The following is a 22,031-nucleotide window of genomic DNA, read 5'->3' on the forward strand; positions in this document are numbered from 1 at the left end:
ATTTTCTAAGTGATGTCCTCATTCAGTTTTACACCCAGAGCTTTGCTAGTCACATGGCCATAAATAGCTGATCGTCTTTCTTCCTGCTTTCATAAATCTCCGATAAAGCATGTCATGGAGGAGCTCTCGTCATCCTGGTTAAAAACAACCTCTTCCCCTTTTTGACTGCCTTACTCGCCACTCTAGAAACCCACTTCAAAAGCCTGGCTCTTTTCACTTTGTTTCGTAGAGACAGGTCTCTCCGTTGCCCTGGCTGGTCTTGAACTCCTGATCTCAAGCAATCCTCCCACCTCAGTCTCCCAAAGCACTGGGATTACAGGTGTGAGTCACCACACCTGGCCCAAAAGCTTGGCTCTTTTGAGAGTGTTTTTATGGCTTATTTTGAAACTAAAACCGTATCTATTTTAGGGCCTGATGTGGACCCCTACCAAGTCTCTTAACTGACAGAATCAGTTATTCAGATGGCATCCCAGACTGCCCTCTAATTCACCCTCAATCACAAAAGGTAGTAAAGAGGAACAAAAATGGAGCCAAATGAAATGAACACTTTAGTGGCATTAGAGAGTCTCCTAGAAATTCCCACCTCATCTAAAGGACAGGACTGCTTCATATAGAAGAGATATAAATGAGCAAGAATGGCAGGTAGGTGGATGAAAAACAGTATTTCATCTGGCATAGGTGTGAATGCTTGGACTTGCTACTTCTAGTATAAACACATTCTGTTATTTGAAACTTAATTTCCCATCCTCAGTACCATGGCATTTCTTCACCAATAAAAGGCACTTAAAAAAGCAACAGGATGAAGTCTCTCTCCTCCAGGTTTAATGTAAGATTGTATTTCCAACCATGGTGATTTAGGCAGAGGGAACAGCAATTACAAGGGCACTGAGAGGGAAAAGGCCTGGTATTAGAGGAGCAGCAAGGGGGCTACCAGTATTGCTGGAGCACAGTGAGAAAGAGAGGGGAGTGAGAGCTGAGGTCCCAGAGGGAGACAGATCATAGGCCAATCTGAGGGCTTCAGCTTAGAAAGCCTTTGAGTGACATGATCTGATCTGGTTTCTTTTTACAGGATAATTTTGCCTACTGTGTTGAAAGTAGTAGACTGAAGAAGGCAAGGGTGCAGGGGGTGTAGCTAAGGAATTGAGGTGAGTGGTGATGGTGGCTTGGACCAGGGGGATAGTGAGAAGTGGCTGAAATCTAGACACACGTATTCTGAAGGTAGAGCCAACAGGATTTGCTGATGAACTAGATATTAGGTGTAAGAAAAGAACAAAAATCAAGGATGACTTCTAGGTTTTGGGTTAAGTAACTTAAAGGATGGACTGCCACTACTGAGATGGGGAAGACTGCTGGCGAAGCAGGTTTGGGGGAAGGCAGTAGAATCAAGGCTTATACATACTGAGTTTCAGATGGCTACTGAACATTCAAATGGAAATACCAAGTAGGCAGGTTAAGAATAGCAGTGGTTAGGGATAGATTACTCACCCATCCACACAACTACCTACCTACCCACTAATCCAACCACCTACCTACTGTATTTAAAGCCTCCAGATTGGGAGAGATCACCAAGGAATAAATGAGAAGCAGACAAAGAAAAAAAAAAGACCAAGGACTGAATCCCAAGGCATCTAATGTTAAGAGGTGGAGAGAGAGGGAAAAATGAGCAAAGACAACTCAGATGTAGGAGAAAAACCTACTGGAAGCCTGCTGGAAAAAGGTATTCAAGCTTTTCTCCCACCCCCCCAACAGTATTTTGCTCTCAGCCTTTGATTCTTTTAGCTGAGGCCCTAGACAACATGGTACATGGCTGTACCTTGTCTGAATTCATGTCTGACAGAAAGCATGAGATAACAAATGATTATCCTTATTTTAAGTTTTATTAGGTAGCAACAGATAACTCATCATTTTTCAATACATAAAAGTCAGCATCACCAACATAAGTCACATAAATATATACAAGAGCAATATTCTCTAGCTCTCAGGCTGATTAACACATCTGATAGTTCTTCATGGATTACTTCTAGTCAAAGTGTCTTTTAACCCTTTAAAGATTAACCCAGTCCTCTGGAAACATACTCAGCTATCTCAATGATCTCCATGTGAACCATCTCTTTCCCAACTCATCTTATCCTCACAAACAAAACATTTTAATTTAAATTAAAAAAATTAAAACTCTAAGAATAGCAAGGTCAGGTTTAAAAGCTGAAAATAAACTTGCATCAAAAGCAAAAACCTAACTGAAGCTCTGCCATCTGCCCCCAGAGACATCTTTGCTTTCATTTCCTTGTACCCAAGGAGAAGACAATATAGAACGGAATTTCAGCAATTCTAATTTTAACTTTTCTAAGCTCAAATATATCCCTTTAGAATTCTTGGGGGAAAGGATGGCTGTATCCTTAAGCACTTTAAATACTAACTTTTACAATTGCTCGATTGCTTCACATTTCTGCCCAGACTCTGGAAAAGATGATGGGGTTGTAAAAAAATTTTTTAAACTTTAGATAAAGTAAAAGTTTCCATGGCTTCCTTCCAGTCCCAATTCCTTCCCCAGAGGTAATCACTCTAATCAGTTTAATATTTTCCCTGCCAGATTCCACTCTATATATTTACATATATATGAACACACACAAATACGTTTTTGTACATTTTATTTTACCCAGATGGGATCATGCTTGCCAACTAACCTTATCTTCAACAAACATTTAACTATGTGTCTTACAGGACGCTCTATGTTGGGATATAAAGATTTCCTATATTATTTTTAAACTGCTGGATGGTAATAAAAAATACAAATGTGTCATATTTGACACAACCATTCTCCTATCGGTGGACATTTAGACTGTTTCTAATTTTTTGCTATTACAAATAAAGTTGTGATGAACCTCTTGTACATGTTTCTTTAAAAAAAATTTTTTTTTTAACTGGAGATGAAGTCTCGCTATGTTGCCTAGGCTGGCCTCAAACTCCTGGACTCAAATGATCCTCCCACCATGGCCTCCCAAAGTGCTGGGATTATAGGTGTGAGCCACCATGCCCAGCCTGTACATGCTTCTTTGTGCTCATAAATAAGCACTTCTCAGCATATGCTTAGAAGTGAAAGTGCTAGGGTGAGATATAACCAAAAGACACAGAAAGTTAGAAGATTTAGTCAATGTGTCCAAGCCTGTGGCAAGAGAGGAGAGATAGGGCTTTTCTAGGAAAACAGAGCTGGGACAGTAAAAAAAAAAAAGGGCTGGGATGGTAGAAAATGACAGCTGTAAGGCAGGGAAAACTCAAACCATGTTTTTTCTGTGCTCTCACACCAAACAATCAACACAGAAGGCTTCTGTAACAAAATGTGTGGAGGTTTTCCTCTCCCACACCAAGCAGGGATCAGTTCTGCAGTGGATGCCAGCAGGTTGTCATCCAACTCAATTCTGAATCTATCTACCGGAAGACAGCCCCAGAAACCAAGGTTGAGGGCTCAGTCCCACAACACCCTCCTTCCTACCAGTCACAAGTCCAGGCCTCTAGAACTTCTGACCAACTAGCTTCAAGTTGGGATTTCCATGACCCCCTATTTGGGCTCAATTGCTAAAGCAGCTCACATAACTCAGGGAAACTCACATTTACCAGTATATTACAATGAATATAAGCCATACAGATTAAGAGATGCACAGGGCGAGGTTGGGGGAAGCTGCACAGAGCTTCCATGGCTTCCCTGGGTGTGCTGTTCTCTAGGAACCTCCACGTGTTCAGTTACCCAGAAGCTCCCTGAACTCTGTCCTCTTAGGCCTTTTATGGAGACTTCATTGGATAGGCATGATTGGACAACCATGTTGAAATGTGATTGAACACAAAGGGTATGAGTTAATACTAATCGACTGAGTAGGAAAACCTAGCAAGGCCTGTTTGTTCAGATTCTTCTTGGCCTTTCTGTGCAGGATTTCTTCCTCTAACATATGGGGTATGACCTTCTCTGGAATGAGGATCTTGTGACCCATCATCATAAAGGCGGGGAAAGATTAGAGTCCTGCCTTGGGCAGGTAAAAGGAGGGCAGGAGAAAGTCAGAGACAGAGATTCTGTTTTCTGAGGCCTGCTCCTGAGGCCTAAAGTGCTCCAACATTATAACAAAAGACTGTTAACTCCAAAAGGCTATGACAGTTAGGAGCCAGGAACCTGAGACGAAAACATCTATATATATGTGTCAATATCACAACAGTAAAGAGAAACTTCTGTCTCCTTTTTAATAATTTACATGAACCTCCTAGTTCACTTCTGTATCCAATATTTGAAAATACTCTTGAAAAGCCCACAGTCAAGAAGGAGGGCTGTTAATAGGCGAAAACTCACACAAAAGGAAATATATCAAAATGTTACTAGTGGCGAGTATGAAAATTTTAAATTTTGTTCTTTTTACTTTTCTGCTCTTTTTTTTTTGGAGACGGAGTCTCGTATGGTTGCCTGGGCTGGAGTGCAGTGCTGTGATCTCGGCTCACTGCAACCTCCGCCTCCCGGGTTTAAAGCGATTCTCCTGCTTCAGGCTCCCAAGTAACTGGGATTACTGGCGCCTGCCACCACGCCCAGCTGATTTTTGTATTTTTAGAGATAGGGTTTCACCATGTTGGCCAGGCTAGTCTCAAACTCCTAACCTCGTGATCCGCCCACCTTGGCCTCCCAAAGTGCTGGGATTACAGGCGTGAGCCACTGCACCCAGCCTACTTTTCTGCTTTTAAAATGTTCACACTAGGCTGGGCACAGTGACTTAACGCCTGTAATCTCAGCACCCTGGGAGGCCAAAGTGGGTGGATTTCTTGAGCCCGGAGTTCGAGACCAGCCCGGTCAACATGGTGAAACCCCATTTCTACAAAAAATACAAGAAAATTAGCCAGGCGTGGTGGCATGCACTTGTGGTCCCAGCTACTCAGGAGGCTGAGGTGGGAGGATCACCTGAGCTCAGGAGGTCGAGGCTGCAGTGAGCTATGATCACACCACTCCATTCGAGCTTGGACAAAGTGAGACCCTGTCTCAAAATAAATAAATAAATAGTCCACATTAAATATACAGGAAAAACACACTTGAAATTTACATTACAATGAGATGGTGAAAAAAGCACTTACATATCAGCATGGAAAGTCATAAAAGCTTTGATAAAATGTAGTGACTAAGCTGAAAACCCAAAGAGGCGTCTCTAGGTGGCAAAAGGATAGGGCACGGTTTCTAGCAGGAGGGACAGGAGGGAACCGCATGCATTATGTCAGATGTGTGGGGTCCTGGAAAGCAGTTAGAATGACTGGCACATAGGGTCCAAGATAGCACAGACATCCTTAAGGTTATAATATGTGTTGTCTCAGGCCAGGCACGGTGGCTCACGCATGTGAACCTAGCACTCTGGGAGGCCGAGGCAGGTGGATTGCCTGAGCTCAGGAGTTCAAGACCAGCCTGGGCAACACAGTGAAACCCCATCTCTACTAAAATACAAAACACTAGCTGGGCGTGGTGGTGCGCACCTGTAATCCCAGCTACTCAAGAGGCTGAGACAGGAGAATCGCTTGAACCTGGGAGGCAGAGATTGCAGTGAGCCGAGATCGTACCACTGCACTCCAGCCTGGGCAACAGAGCGAGACTCCATCTCAAAAATAATAATAATAATAAAATAATAATAATAACGTGTTGTCTCCTTCATCATTAATAGAATTAGTTTTAAAATCTTGGCTAATGTAGTAAGAGCAAGATACCAGCTTGCTTTAATTTGCATTCATCTGATAATCAGTGAGGTATAATATATATATTTTTCGCTTATTATTTCTTCTCTGCTTAGAAGTGGCAAATCTCAGGGAAGATCGACCACCACTATCTTTCCCAATCCATTCCATGGGTATGCAAGTCACTGAGCAGTACTACACTCTCACCAAGGCGCCCAGGTACTAGAACCTCCTCAAGTGACATGAGCATCAGGAAGCACACAGCATACCTATGTGCAACTCACCAAAAATATTTATCCTAAATCTAATCAAGCCTCCAAACCTGGGCTGTTCAAAACGGTGAACATGATATACATGTAGCTACTGAGCACTTGAAATGTGGCTAGTGTAACTAAGAAACTGAATTTTGTATTTATTTAATTTTAATTAGTTTGTTTTTGTTGTTGTTGTTTTACCGCTTCTTGTGAAGCAGAACTATCCCATAGGCAGTGTGCCCAGAAAGCCTTAATTAGTTTAACTAGCCACGTAAGGCAGCTAGTGGATGCCATACGGAACAACGAAGATATAGAACTTTTCCTTCACTTCAGAAAGTTCTATTGGATGGCACTGTTTTAGACTAAGTTGCTGGAAATACAGAGGATGGGGAAACAAGTTAAAGGAAACCAGGAAGAAACAATCAAACAAAACCAGGATGTGAGGCATTTTATAAGACAACTACCCTGGACTCTTTTTTTTTTTTTTGAGATGGAGTTTCGCTCTGTCGCCCAGGCTGGAGTGCAGTGGCACGATTTCAGCTCACTGCAACCTCCGCCTCCCGGGTTCACGCCATTCTCCTGCCTCAGCCTCCCGAGTAGCTGGGCTATAGGCACCCGCCACCACGCACAGCTAATTTTTTGTATTTTTAGTAGAGACGGGGTTTCACTGTGTTAGCCAGGATGGTCTTGATCTCCTGACCTTGTGATCCGCCCACCTTGGCCTCCCAAAGTACTGGGACTACAGGCATGAGCCACTGCGCCCGGTCACTGGACTCTTATAAAACAGTCAGTATCTTTGGGGACAGGCATATGGGAAGAATGGAAATACAGTTCTATGATAAAACAGCCTAAAAAGACATACAAGCAACAGTAATGTGTGAACCTAGGTTAAGGCCTAGTGAGGAAACAAATATAACAAACATTTCATGATAACTGGGGACATTTGAATATAGAGTCAATACTGGATAATATCATGGAATTATTACAAATTTCTTTAGATGTGACAATGGTATGTGGTTATGTAGGAGACTGGCCTTATTCCAAAGAGATGCATGCTACTATTCACAATAGCAAAGAGGTGGAATCAACCCAAGTGCCCATCAATAGTGGACTGGATAAAGAAAGTGTACATATACAAAATGGAATACTATGCAGCCATAACAAAGAACGAAATAATGTCCTTTGCAGCAACATGGTTACAGCTGGAGCCCATTATCCTAAGCAAATTAACACAGAAACAGAAAACCAAATACTGCATGTTCTCACTTATGAGTGGGAGTTAAACACTGGGTACACATGTACACAAAGATGGGAACAATAAACACTGGGGATTCTAAAAGTGGGGAGGGGGGAAGTTGAAAAACAACCCATCAGGTATTATGTTTGCTATTTGGGTGACAGGGTCATTAGAAGCCAAAACCTCAGCAACATGCAATATACCCATGTGCACATGTATCCCCCAAATCTAAATTTTAAAATGGAAAGAAGGAAAGAGAGGGAGGAAGGGTGGGCGGGCACAAAGAAAGACGGGCTGGGCACAGTGGCCCATAATCCCAGCACTTTGGGAGGCCAAGGCATGTGTATCTCTTGAACCCAGGATTTCAAGACCAGCCTGGGAAACATGGTGAAACTCCATCTCTACAAAAAATACAAAAATTAGCTGGGTGTGGTGGCTTGTGCCTGTAGTCCCAGCTACTCAGGAGGTTAACGTGGGAGGACTGCTTGAGCCTGGGCGGTAGACGTGACAGTAAGCAGAGATTGCACCACTGTACTCCAGCCTGGGTAACACAAGGAGATCCTGTCTCAAAAAAAAAGAGAAAAGAAACAAGAAACAAAGAAGAGAAGCGAAGCGAAGCGAAGAGAAGAGAAAAAAGAGAAAAGGAAAAGAAATACATGCTAAAGAATAGAATTTAGGAGTGATGTGTCACACTATCTACAACTTTACATTCAAATGGAATAGCCAAAAAAGTAACAATATAGAAAGATAAAGCGAGTACGCAAAAGGTCAAAAGATGTTGTATTTAGAAGAAGGTATAGTGTTTATTGTACTATTTTTGAATTTTTCTTGTATGCTTGAAAATTTTCATGACTGAAAAGTTCAGAAAAATAATTAGCCATGGAATTAGGGTAATATATAATCTTCTTTGCGCTGTCTTTTCATTCTACTAGGAACACGTATTATTTTTATGAACAGAAAAAAATGGTAAGCTATAGTGGGCACTAGCTTAATCAAGTGATCAAACTTGGCTACACTAATACACTAATAGCATCACTAAGTGCTTACCAGGAGCACTTAAAAGCCTTCAGAATGGGCTGGGCGTGGTGGTTCATGCCTGTAATCCCAGTATTTTGGGAGGTGGAGGTGCACAGATCACCTGAGGTCAGGAGTTTGAGACCAGCCTGGCCAACACGGGAAACCCCGTCTCTACTAAAGATACAAAATTAACCTGGCATGGTGGCACACACCTCTAATCCCAGCTACTCAGGAGACTGTGAGGCAGAAGAATGGCTTGAACCCAGGAGGCAGAGGTTGCAGTGAGCTGAGATCACACCACTGCACTCCAGCATGGGCGACAGAGCAAGACTACGCTTCCAAAAAAAAAAAAAAGCCTTCAGAATAAGAGCCTTGTTTAGATCATATAATTGTTATTGTTGCTGTTTTTGAGATAGGGTCTCACTTGTGCCCAGGACAGAGTGCAGTGGCATGATCATAGCTCACTGTAATCTTGACTTCCTGGCCTCAAGTGATCCTCCTGCCTTGGCCTCCCAAAGTATTGGGATTACAGGCATAAGCCACTGCACCCAGCATGTCTCCATTTTTAGGGTTAAAACTTTACAAATCACTCTAATGGTCTTAGTCAAAAGCACCTATATATTTAAAACTAAAATGGTCACTAACACAAATATGTAATAACATTATGAATACCACTTTTTATATAGTCAATAGTATCTACCATGAATTTTTGCAAACACCAGAATGACAGAGCCACTAAAAAGTCAATCATCTTAAGGATGACTCTAGAAGTAATCAAGGTAATAACCCAGAGGCAGCCATTTACCATTTAGTAACAGCCTCAGAGCAGAGACGCTTCTCTGAAAAGAGAGAGAGGCGGTTCTACTAGGAATATGGCTGTGGGGCCAGTGTTGAATTACACTCGGCCACGTGAGCACAGAGCAAAAGCTGAGCACAGGAATCATCACAATTGCAACTCAGCCAGGCCCTTCACTGGAGGCTATGTCTATGCCAAGGCTTGCCTTCATCCCCGAACTGTAACTGAGAAGGAAGGCCCTTTCTAAGTTCTCAGCTGCCAGAAACAGGAGATTCAATACCGATTTACTTAAGGGCCTGAAAGGTAATGCCAGAGATCTATGGGATTCATTCTGTCTTCTAATGTAAAACTGCCTCACACCACCTTCTACATTAAAACATGATATGCTTTCACTGATTACTTTATATAATGAATTTTTTTTTCTTTTTTCTTTTTTAAAGAGACAGGGTCTCGATCTGTTGCCCATAGCTTGCTGCAGCCTCAAACTCCTGGGCTTAAGCGATCCTCCCTCCTCAGCCTCCTGAGTAGATGGAACTATAAGTGCAAGCCACCATGTCTGGTTCCTTTTTAAAAACTTTTTGTAGAGATAAGGTCTCCCTTTGTTGCCTAGGCTGGTCTCAAATTCCTGGGCTCAAGTGATCCTCCCACCTGGGCTTCTCAAAGTGCTGGGATTATAGGCGTGAGCCACTGCACCCAGACAAAATTATTTTGCTAAGGATAAGCTTTTAACTTCTTTTGCTGTATTTTTGTGTATGAGTTTTCCTAGGAGGGCGGAATAAAGATGCTTCCTCACACAAAAATATATGTTCATGTTAGGTGAACAAAGGTTTTCCTGAAATTTTTACTACGGAGCCACATTTCCCACTAAATCCTTTAAAAAGAATAAATTATCAGAATAAGATCCTCACATATAATGTACTAAGACATGATGATTCTTATATATTGTAGTGCTGTGACCAAAGGAGATAAAAATATCTGTCTTCTTATCAAGTAAAAATAAAGACACGGTAGTGCTGACAGACATGGCAATGTTGACAAACATACAATCTGTCTTAGGGAAAGTGGCATCTGTCACATCACCGTCCTTTGTAGCTTCCAGCTCAGGAACTTGAATATAGCTGGTATATATATAATAAGTACTTACGCTTATTTTCTCAACTTTTCATTTTGAAAAATGTCAAACATACAGAAAAATTATTTGCCTATTTTAGTTCTGATTTTAAAGATAAAGCCATAGGCCATAGGCCATACATGTACATTGTTATTAGGAATTCATGTTCATGTGATTTAAAATCCTTAAAAAATTAAATAATGGAAGTTCGAGAATGCCATCTACATAAAGCCTGCTTTTAAACAAACGGGAGCAACTCATGGTCTCTCCTGACTTTTTACATCTAGATACACTTTCTAATTTTAAGAATTTACATCTAGATAATTTTAGCAAACTACATCTAGCTACACTTTCTAATTTTAACATTTTTATTTAACAGTAAAATATTCCCAAGGTTAAAAACCTTTATTTGCTTTCGGAGACAAAAAAACAAAAACTATCTTCTAAGAGGTTGGAGTTTATCAATTTACAGTTTAAAATAAAGTTAAAATTCGGAACACAGCTCATTCATTTAATTAACACATACTTTGGTTGTTTTTCACTATGAGCCTTTCAGTCCTACTACTGTTGGTCTTTTTAATCCATATGCAGACATTACTCTAACATTTTTAAAAGCCAATTTTTCAAATTAGTTGCCCACATTGAAAGATCAGAAGATCTTACATGATAATCCAGCTTTTTTTTTTTCTTTTTTTTGACACGGAGTCTTGCTCTGCTGCCCAGGCTGGAGTGCAGTGGCGTGATCTCAGCTCACTGCAACCTCTGCCTCCTAGGTTCAAGCAATTCTCCTGCCTCAGCCTCCCGACTAACTGGGATTATAGGCACCCGCCACCATGCCCAGCTAATTTTCGTGTTTTTAGTAGAGACAGGGTTTCACCATGTTGGTCAGGCTGGTTTCGAACCCCTAACCTCAGGTGATCCACCCGCCGTGGCCTCCCAAAGTGCTGGGATTACAGGCGTGAAATGTAGGGTCCCGCCCTACGGGGCTTGACGGGTGTTCTCCCCGTGTGTGGAGACGAGAGAGAGATCGTACGAAATAAAGACACAGGACAAAGAGATAAAGAGAAAACAGCTGGGCCCGGGGGGACTACTACCACCAAGACGCGGAGACCGGTAGTGGCCCTGAATGGCTGGGTGCACTGATATTTATTGTATACAAAACAAGGGGGCAGGGTAAGGAGGGTGAGTCATCCAAATGATTGATAAGGTCAAGCAAGTCACATGATCATAGGACAGGGGGCCCTTCCCTTATAGGTAGCCGAAACAGAGAGGGAAGGCAGCATACGTCAGCGTTTTCTTCTACGCACTTATCAGAAAGATCAAAGACAGGCCGGGCGCGGTGGCTCACCTGTAATCCCAGCACTTTGGGAGGCCGAGGCGGGTGGATCACGAGGTCAAGAGATCGAGACCATCCTGGCCAACATGGTGAAACCCTGTCTCTACTAAAAATACAAAAAATTAGCTGGGCATGGTAGTGCGCACCTGTATTCCCAGCTACTTGGGAGGCTGAGACAGGAAAATCGCTTGAACCTGGGAGGTGGAGGTTGCAGTGAGCTGAGATCGTGCCACTGCACTCCAGCCTAGCAATAGGGCGAGACTCCGCCTCAAAAAAAAAAAAAAAAGAAAGAAAGATCAAAGATTTTAAGACTTTAACTATTTCTTTTACCGCTATCTTCTAAGAACTTCAAAAAGGAACCAGGAGTATGGGAGGAACATGAAAGTGGACAAGGAGCGTGACCACTGAAGCACAGCACTACAGAGAGGGGTTTAAGCTTCCAGATGACTGTGGGCAGGCCTGGATAATATCCAACCTCCCACAAGAAGCAGGTGAAGCAGAGTGTTCCCTGACTCCTCCAAGGAAAGGGAGACTTCCTTTCACAGTCTGCTAAGTAACTGGTGTCTTCCCAGGCGCTGGCATTACCGCTTGACCAAGGAGCCCTCAAGCGGCCCTTATGTGGGTGTGACAGAGGGCTCACCTCTTGCCTTCTTGGTCACTGCTCACGATGTCCCTTCAGCACCTGACCCTGTACCTGCCAGTTATTCCTTGGTTATATTAGTAATACAACAAAGAGTAATATTAAAAGCTAATGATTAATAATGTTTATGCTAATGATTGATAATGTCCATGATCATCTCTATATCTAATTTGTATGATAACTATTCTTATTCTAACTACTTTCTTTATTATACTGAAACAGTTTGTGCCTTCAGTCTCTTGCCTCGGCACCTGGGTAATCTTCCGCCCACAGTGAACCACCACGCCCGGCCAAGAATCCAGCTTTCAAGTTTCTCTTGAAACATCAGAGGATCTGATCACACTGGGTCTTCCCCTTACCCCCATCTTTATTTAGGTCTAACTGACAAATAAAAATTATATACATTTACGGTGTACTGCATGACGTTTTGATGTATGTATACACATTGGGACTTAACTACCACTAGTGTATTAGTGTAGCCAAGTTTTATCACTTGATTAAGCTAGCGCCCACTCCACTATAGCTTACCATTTTTTTCTGATTATAAAAATAATACATGTTCCTAGTAGAATGAAAAAACGGAAAGTACAAAGAAGATTGCATATTATCCTAATTCAAGCATCTGTGTATACTTTTTTTGTTGTTAACAAGGTCTTGATCTGTAACCCAGGCTGGAATGCACTGGTGCAATCACAGCTCACTGCAGCCTTGATGCTAGGCTCAAGCAATCCTCCCTCCTCTGCCTCCCAAGTAGCTGGGACTACAGCTGTACCCACCTTGTCAGAGGTGTACTTACTGTCAACTGCCTGTCCCCTTCCTGACAAGTTTATGAGCCGGAGACCCCTGACCATATTAATTCCTCATAATTCCCCAAACTGCTATACTTATGTTGAAATGATCAAAAGTATCCTTAATATATTATTCATAAAGTTTTGCTACTAAATGATATATAATTTTGTGATTAAAGTTCTGGGTTTTAAAAATGCATGTTATTTCTCTGATAAATCCTATGATAGCCTACACTCCACTTTCTATTCACAACTGCTCAGGCTGGGTAAAAGGTACAGATGAAAATACAACACAGTCATACTGTGCCTTCACTTTTTTTCCCCCACTCCAGAGCCAAACATTAATGAACTAAAAAACTGGTGACAATGAATATCTTAAATTACTCCCAAGTAGTCACAGATTTTTTAAGTGTTCTACTCTTGTATAACATGAAACATGAAATTCTGCTTTCCTGTTAGAGACTGTTCTGAGATACCATATGGAGCCTTCTGGTTGCTCTGTGTGTGTTGTGTATATATATAGAGAGATATACATAAAAATACATATATACATAGATATACACACATATACACAAATATATATATAAAAAAGAGAACAACCATTTTTTTTTGAGATGAAGTCTCGCTCTTATCCCCCAGGCTGGGGTGCAATGGCGCGATCTCAGCTCACTGCAACTTCCACTGCCCGGGTTCAAGCGATTCTCCTGCCTCAGCCTCCCGAGTAGCTGGGATTACAGGCGCCTGCCACCACGCCTGGCTAATTTTTGTATTTTTAGTAGAGATGGGGTTTCACCATGTTGGCCAGGCTGGTCACGAACTCCTGACCTCAGGTGATCCGCCTGCCTTGGCCTCCCAAAGTGCTGAGATTACAGGCGTGAACCACCGTGCCCAGTCAAGAACAACCATTCTTTTGCAGGGACAGGGAATACATGGTACAGGAATTAGGATGAGAAGATACTTAAAAAAAAATTTTTTTTTATTATACTTTAAGTTCTAGGGTACATGTGCACAACTTGCAGGTTTGTTACATATGTATACATGTGCCATGTTGGTGTGCTGCACCCATTAACTCCTCATTTACATTAGGTATATCTCCTAATGCTATCCCTCCCCCAACCCCACCCCATGGCAGGCCCTGGTGTGTGATGTTCCGCACCCTGTGTCCAAGTGTTCTCATTGTTCAATTCCCACCCATGAGTGATAACATGTGGTGTTTGGTTTTCTGTCCTTGTGACAGTTTGCTCAGAATGATGGTTTCCAGCTTCATCCATGTCCCTACAAAGGACATGAACTCATCCTTTTTTATGGCTGCATAGTATTCCACAGTGCCTATGTGCCACATTTTCTTAATCCAGTCTATCATTGACGGACATTTGGATTGGTTCCAAGTCTTTGCTATTGTGAATAGTGCTGCAATAAACATACGTGTGCATGTGTCTTTATAGCAGCATGATTTATAATCCTTTGGGTATATACCCAGTAATGGGATGGCTGGATCAAATGGTATTTCTAGTTCTAGATCCTTGAAGAATCACCATGCTGTCTTCCACAATGGTTAAACTAATTTACAGTCCCACCAACAGTGTAAAAGTGTTCCTATTTCACCACATCCTCTCTAGTACCTGTTGTTTCCTGACTTTTTGATGATCGCCATTCTAACTGGTGTGAGATGGTACCTCATTGTGGTTTTGATTTGCATTTCTCTGATGGCCAGTGATGATGAGCATTTTTTCATGTGTCTGTTGGCTGCGTAAATGTAGAAGATACACATTTTTTAAATAAAGTTCACTATGGCATTTTCCATATTCTTATTAGAAAATAAAAATGGTGCTGGGCATGGTGGCTCGTGCCTATAATCCTAGCACTTTTGGAGGCCAAGGTGGACAGATTGCTTGAATTCAGGAGTTTGAGACCAGCCTGGGCAACATGGTGGAACCCCAGCTCTACAAAAAATACAAAAATTAGCTGGGTGTGGTGGTGCATGCTTACTTGTAGTCCCAGCTACTCAGGAGGCCAAGGTGCGAGGATCACTTGAGCCAGGGAGGTGGAGGTGGCAGTGAGCTGAGATCACACCACTGCACTCCAACCTAAGCAACAGAGCAAGACTCTGTCTCCAAAAAGAAAAAAAGAAAAAGAAAAGAAAATACAAATGGAATCAAGAGGAGTTAAAATAACTTCTTTTTTTTGAGATGGAGTTTCACTGTGATGCCCAGGCTGGAGTGCAATGGCACGATCTTGGCTCACTGCAACCTCTGCTTTCCAGGTTCAAGCAATTCTCCTGCCTCAGCCTCCTGAGTAGCTGGGACTACAGGCACATGCTACCACGCCCAGCTAATTTTTGTACTTTTAGTAGAGATGGGGTTTCACCATATTGGCCAGGCTAGTCTCGAACTCCTGACCTCAAGTGATCCACCCACCTTGGGCTCCCAAAGTGCTGGGATAATAAGGGTGAGCCACCGCACCTGGCCTAAAATAACTTCTTGATAGACTGCGGATAGATTAACAAGGCTAGAGATAATTGAGCAGCTCTGAACTCTTGCGGTGCCATTAGGAAGGCAACCTCAATTATTCTACATTAAGGTATTTAGACTTTCAAACTTTCTTTTTTTTTTTTTTTTCCAAACTTTCTTTTTAAGTTGTCCATGACCTGCTGGATTTTTCTTTTTTCTTTTACAACTTTCTTTAATGAAGGTTAATTAAGTAAAACATGCTGTGGAATTTTTATTTTATGTATGACACTGTACATACTAACTTGTACAAAAACTTGAAGGAGGGCAGCAAAGATACAGGGAAATCTAAGCAGATATCACCAACCTGAAGATGGACTGTTTCTATGGCAAAGCAACAGGTGGCATGAGCCAGAGGAGTAGCACAGAAGTACTATTAGGATAGAAGTGAGGAAGTCACAGAGAACTAACCACACTTTTTAAAAAAGCAATGGCTGTGTCACAAACTATCAGGGTGACTACAAATACAGTCGGCCCTCCGTATTTGTGCACTACACGTCTGTGGATTCAACCAACTGCAGATCAAGAATTTTTTTAAAAATTGTATCTGTACTGAACACGTACCGACTTTGTTCCCTTGTATTTCCTAAACAATATAGTATAACTACAGTTGATCCTTGAATAATGTTGATCCTTGAACAAGTTGGTAGGGTGCCAACTCCCACGCAGTCAAACATCTGTGTATACTTTTTTTTTGTTAACAGACAGGGTCTTGATCTGTCACCCAGGCTGGAATGCACTGGCACAATCATGGCTCACTGCAGCCTTGATGCTGGGCTCAAGCAATCCTCCCTCCTCAGCCTCCCAAGTAACTGGGACTACAGGTATGTGTCAACACGCCCAACTAATTTTTTTTAAAATTTTTTGTTTTTTGTAGTGATACGGTCTCACTATGTTGCCCAGGCTGTTCTCAAACTCCTAACCTCTAGCCACCATGTCCGGTGGGTATATAATTTTTGACTCTCCCAAAACTTAACTACTAATAATCTACTACTGACCAGCAGCCTTACCAATAACAGTTGATTAACATATATTCTGTATGTTGTGTGTATTATTTACTATACTCTTATATTAAAGCTAGAAAAAGAAAATGTTATTAAGAAAACCATAAGGAAGAGAAAATATATTTACTGTTCATTAGGTGGAAGTGGAGCCCAGTAAAGGTTTTTTCCTCGTCATCTTCACATTGAGTAGGCTAAGGAAGAGGAGGAGGAAGAGGAGGGGTTGGTCTTGCTGTCTCAGGGGCCACCTCAGAGGCAGAAGTGAAGGAGGTAAAAGAGGAAGCAGGAAAGGCAGGCACACTCAGTATAATGGTGTAACTTTTACTGGAAAAAAATCCACATATAAATGAACCCGTGCAGTTCAATCCCCTGTTGTTTAAGGGTCAACTGTATTTACATAGTGTTTACATTGCATGAGGTAGCATAAGCAATCTACAAATGATCTAAAGTATATGGGAGGATATGTGTAGGTCATATGCAAATACTCTGCCACTTTATATAAGGCGCTTGAGCATCGGCAGATTTTTATATCCATCAGGGGTCCTGAAACCAATACCAAGGAATGGCTATACTGTAGGCACATAATTTTCTCCTCCTGTTTCTGTTTTTGGATGTTCTCTATTCTTGTGATAATACTCTTGGGATGGCTGAGGTGAGAAAAGGTAAAGGAAATGGGAATGTAAGACGAAGAGAAGACAGAACGGTTTCAGACACAGCTTCCCTTTTTTCCCCTGTCAGACAAGAGTTTTACCTTTCCCACTGAATTAGCAAGAAAGAATAGCTCTGAGATCATACAAAGAGGTGCTTTTCTTTTTTATTACAGAAAGACTATCACATGGCTGGCTCACACAGCTTCTGCTGCCCTAGTCTAAAGAGGCACTGTTACTAAAGCCCATGGCAGGCCATGGGAGCAAGCCTGTTCCCCTAACCCTGTAAGGGGTCACTCTAAAAGGATTTTGACCACAAGCAGCTAAAAAAAGGAAGCTAATTTGCAAAAGGGAATATTTTAGCCCTCCCCTTACATGTGATTGCTAATGTGTCAAATGCTTCAGATTTATCTGTTTCTGAAATTCAGCCAATATGCTAAAATTTTTAAGCTGGGCTGAACAAAGCTTTAGAACAGGTGGAATTTAATGAGACCTAGGACTGACAATGCCATGATAAACTACTGAATAATCTCAATCCTTTCATGTTTATATAAAAACTTTTTCTAGTAACAAAAGAAACATACACTCAATGCAGAGAACTTGATAACCTATGAACTAACAAAGATAACCACTGCAAACATTTTGGTGGACATCTTTCAAGGAGCCATAGCATTAGGAGTGTCGGGGACGAAAGATGTCCTGGATTCAAATCTTACCTTGAGCATATTAGGCTGGACCCAACTTGTTGGGGCAAATCACTCAACCTCAGCCTTTTCTCTCCTGTAAAATGTAGATAATAACAGTTCCTACTACATACACAGGACCTTTGGAAAAGGTGCTGCAGATGGTACTTAACCATGGGTTGCCATGCTTTTATAGCACATGACTTCACTACTCTGAGCACAGCTAAGAGAATTAAAAATCAGCAACTGATGCAAAGGTAAGGTAGACATTTTCAAAATAGCCAGAAGCTGATGATGTGACCTGGCAGCTCTGCCCAAAGGGGCATACTACATGAAGTTGTCACTAGGCAAAACCAATCAGGTCCTCTCTTAGGAAGGCTGAATACAGAGTCAACAGACACGTAAGTTTTGCATAAGACAGGAAAAACACAAAATAAAAGCAGTAAGCTAAGAGGCTGAGAAGAGATGAGATAGGCAGGTCCTCCGCAGTGGAAGAGGGGGGCTGAGCCATTGGCGCGTGACCAGGCTCCTTGAGCCACTCTGCATTTCCACTGTTGTTCCACCTGTCACGAGTGATGCCTGCCGGTGCACTGTGACCCAAGTTTCCAGCTTTGTACAGCCTTGGCTGGGCAGTTGCTGTGACAATGTCATGTTCTTCCTCACTTAACTGAGGCATTTGGAGAGTATGTCTATTTCTGACAACCTAAAAGGGCACATTGCAGTTGCATTTCTGTAGCTGTTCTAACAGTGAGGTCAATAATTGTAGCACTCTATTAAGCACTTGAGATATGTGTTGAGCACTGGAGATTCGACAATGAGCAAGAAAAAATGGGACCAGGGGCGGTGGCTCACACCTGTAATCCCAGCACTTTGGGAGGCCGAGGCAGGTGGATCACCTGAGGTGAGGAGTTAAGAGACCAGCCTGACCAACATGGTGAAACCCCGTCTCTACTAAAAATACGAAACTAGCCGGGCATGGTAGTGCACACCTATAATCCCAGCTATCTGGGAGGCTGAGGCAGGAGAATCATTTGAACCCAGGAGGCGGAGGTTGCAGTGAGCCAAGATCGTGCACTCCAGCATGGGCGACAACAGTGAAACTCCATCTCAAAAAAAGAAAAAAGAAAAAATGGGGACCAAGTACAACGGCCTACACCTGTAATCCCAGCACTTTGGGAAGCTGAGGGAGGAGGGGCTGGAAGCTAGGAGACCCTCGGCAACATAGCAAGACACTGTCTCTAATAAATAATAATAATAAATTAGCCAGGCATGGTGGCATGCACCGGTAGTCCCAGCTACTCAGGGGGCTGAGGAAGGAAGATTGCTTGAGCCCAGGAGTTTGAGGTTACAGTGAACTATGACCATATCACTGCACTCTAGCCTGAGAAGAAAAGAAAAAGAAAAAAAAAAAGGAAAAGGAAAAGAGGAAAGAGAGAGAAAGAGGGAGAGAAAGAAAGAGAGAGAAGAGAGAGAGAGGAAGGAAGGAAGACTACACAGAGTATAAAGTCTAGCACAAAAGACAGTAATTAAACAAGCAACATCAATAAAGCATGAACAATACCACAGTACTAGAAATACAGACTGCAATGGAAACATACAGCATGAGTGAACCTACTAGAAGGAATCACAAAGATTTCATGAATGAAGTAACCTTCATGTTGATGGACTAAATTTGCTATGTTGATTCATGCTGTGTGAACTCCATGACCCCCAGCCTTGTGATGTTATGGAGTTTTGATGAAGCAAAAGTGAACGGGGTCAGTGTGGCCTATCAGGTCACCTAAGAGTCGTGGCCTCATTTAATAGGAAGGCTCAGTTTCTTCAACAGGTAAGCATCTTTCAATCCTAGAAACATTTAGAATTAAATATAAAAATGTTTAAGGGAATCAATAAATATTTTATAATTTATAATATTTTACGTCTTAAATATTATAATGTTTATTACCACAGAAGTATTTTTGTGTTAAGGAGACCAAACATAATCTAAGATTTTGTAATGCTTACAAGAATGTTACTTATTCTGGCTGGCAGTCTTGTGGCCTCAAATTTTAAAAATATAGTTGAATAATTTATTTCTGACTCATGATTTTAAGTTAAAAATCTTAAGAAGCTTATATATAGCATGGGAATATTTAAAGACTCTAAAACATCTTATTTCTAAGTGTAATATGTGAGACTTACAGGAGTTTGTAAAAAAAAAAAGTGTTTTTTTCTTTGAAAATGCTGTGTTTTTTTTTTTTGTTTTTTAAGATGAGGTCTTGCTACGTTGCCCTGGCTGGTCTTAAACTCCTGGGCTCACGTGATCCTCCTGCCTCAGCCTCCCCAGTAGCTGGGACTACAGGCCCATACCACCAGGCCTGGCTATAAATGTTTTTATTATTAATTTTTATTGACACATAATAATTTTAAGTATTTATGGAGTACAGTGACATTTTGCTACATGTATACAATATATAATGATAAATCTGGTTGGGTATAATATGGCTGTAATCCCAGCATTTTGGGAGGCCGAGGCGGGTGGACTGCCTAAGGTCAGGAGTTTTAGACCAGCCTGGCCAACATGATGAAACCCCGTCTCTACTAAAAATACAAAAATTAGCTGGGCATGGTGGTGGGCATCTGTAATCCCCGCTACTTGGGAGGCTGAGGCAGGAGAATCGCTTGAAACCCAGAGGCGGAGGTTGCAGTGAGCACTCCAGCCTGGATGACAGAGCGAGACTCCATCTCAAAACAAACAAACAAACAAACAAACAAAAGGTTATATACACATTTGAGTGGGGTGGGGGAGTTTGGGAGGGGTGTTGCTGCTCCTAATCCCTGCCTTGTTCAATGTATTTTTTGGCCATTTGTCTTCTTTTGAGAAAAGTTTATTCACATCATTTGCACATTTAATACTAGATTCTTTTTTTTGCTGTTGAATTCTTTGTATATACTGAATAGTAATCCCTTGTTGAATGAGTATTTTGCATATATTTTCTCCCATTCTGTAGACTGTCTCTTCACTGTTGATTGTTTCCTTTGCTGTGCGGAAGGTTTTTAGTTTGATACAATCCAATCTGTCTAAATTTGCTTTTGTTACCTGTGCTTTTGAGGTCTTACCTATAAAATCTTTGTCCAGACCAATGTCCTAAAGTGCTTCCCCCTGTGTTTACTTGTAGTAGTTTTTCACAAGACTTTTTTTCATTGAAGAGCTTTATAAAGTTTTTTTTTTAAGTAGGACAACTGAAGTTCTTTAAAAAAAAAATCAAATATATTAAACGTATAAATGCAATCTGAAACATCTGAAGGTTTTCAACTAATTGGTATAGAGGTATTATCCACAGAGCCCCTCAAAAAGTGGCTATTAAAATCTCCTACATTTACAAATAAAAAATCAGATCTGAAAGCATAAACATCTTGAAAACTAAGTGAATCTCTAAACAGTGCTTTGTTTACAAAAGCTTCCCTTCAAGGACAATAAAAAACATCTATCAACATTTCAAGTCTCCGATTTCAAGTCTAATTCTCTGTTGATAAAACTGGAAAATCCACTTCTTTCATTCTGTTTTGATGGAAGCCACTGAACTGTTTCTGTAATGACATGTTCTCTTATTTTTATTGTTTGTACATTTTATTTGGATACTTATTCTAAAGTTCAAAGCAGTTCACAGACATTTCTTTATCCTCTCAATAATGCTGGAATAAAATATGAGATATGATGATATGATTCTCCTCTGACTGCAGAAAAAAAATTAGCTCAAAGTCAGGAAGGATTCTTTAAGGCTGAGAACGGCAGGCAGAGCATGCCTGCAGTCAGAAAAGAATCACATCATCATATCCCATACTTTATTCCAGTATTATTAAGAGAATAAAGTTTCACGATCAGGATTCCTTCAAGACAGGAGCTAGGTAAGATACTAAACATGAGGAGTGTAGTTTAATTATCTGTGCTGGATCTTTCACTTCCTTGCTTCAAGATTATTTTACTCCTATTTCACACTATTCTCCCTTTTACCTATAGAAGGATAGTATGCAATTTCCAGGAAACAAAAGTACAATACCCTATATCCTTCCTACTCCCTCAATGCATTTCCTGTTGCAAACATCTGGTTTTCTATATCTTAGCTGCACTTGTATAACCCAGGGACAACTCAACTGTAACACTCAAAAACAGAACAGCAACAGTGACAACAAATAAGGTGAGCTTTCCTGAAACAGACACAAATTCCAAATGTGCTCTACAAAAGTAGAACTGCCAGAGATATTCCAACCACAACTCCCAAAACCAAGTATCAAGTCTTTGCACAAGGTCTTTGAACTTTTTCCTCTCTCTCTATTCCAGAACCATCA

At 41.4% G+C, this 22,031-nt stretch overlaps 2 protein-coding genes across 2 annotated transcripts in view, besides 2 other annotated features; both read right to left on the minus strand.

The window, feature by feature from the left end:
- The window catches only part of NUDT3 (nudix hydrolase 3), a 112,991-nt gene that overhangs the window by 36,144 nt on the left and 54,816 nt on the right, over positions 1-22,031 (minus strand). The window lies entirely within an intron of this gene.
- Positions 1-22,031, minus strand: part of RPS10-NUDT3 (RPS10-NUDT3 readthrough) — a 138,876-nt gene that overhangs the window by 28,629 nt on the left and 88,216 nt on the right. The gene's annotated exons all lie outside the window — the stretch shown is intronic.
- Positions 8,660-9,301: an enhancer, noted in NCBI's record as "H3K27ac hESC enhancer chr6:34292259-34292900 (GRCh37/hg19 assembly coordinates)". NCBI's record gives its function as "activates a minimal SCP1, AML or CMV promoter by ChIP-STARR-seq in naive H9 embryonic stem cells {active_cell/tissue: H9 hESC(naive)}" and the evidence as "EXISTENCE:reporter gene assay evidence [ECO:0000049][PMID:30033119]".
- Positions 11,391-12,200: an enhancer, noted in NCBI's record as "H3K27ac hESC enhancer chr6:34294990-34295799 (GRCh37/hg19 assembly coordinates)". NCBI's record gives its function as "activates a minimal SCP1, AML or CMV promoter by ChIP-STARR-seq in naive H9 embryonic stem cells {active_cell/tissue: H9 hESC(naive)}" and the evidence as "EXISTENCE:reporter gene assay evidence [ECO:0000049][PMID:30033119]".

This window comes from Homo sapiens, chromosome 6 (assembly GCF_000001405.40).
Source record: "Homo sapiens chromosome 6, GRCh38.p14 Primary Assembly".
NCBI classification, from domain to species: domain Eukaryota; kingdom Metazoa; phylum Chordata; class Mammalia; order Primates; family Hominidae; genus Homo; species Homo sapiens.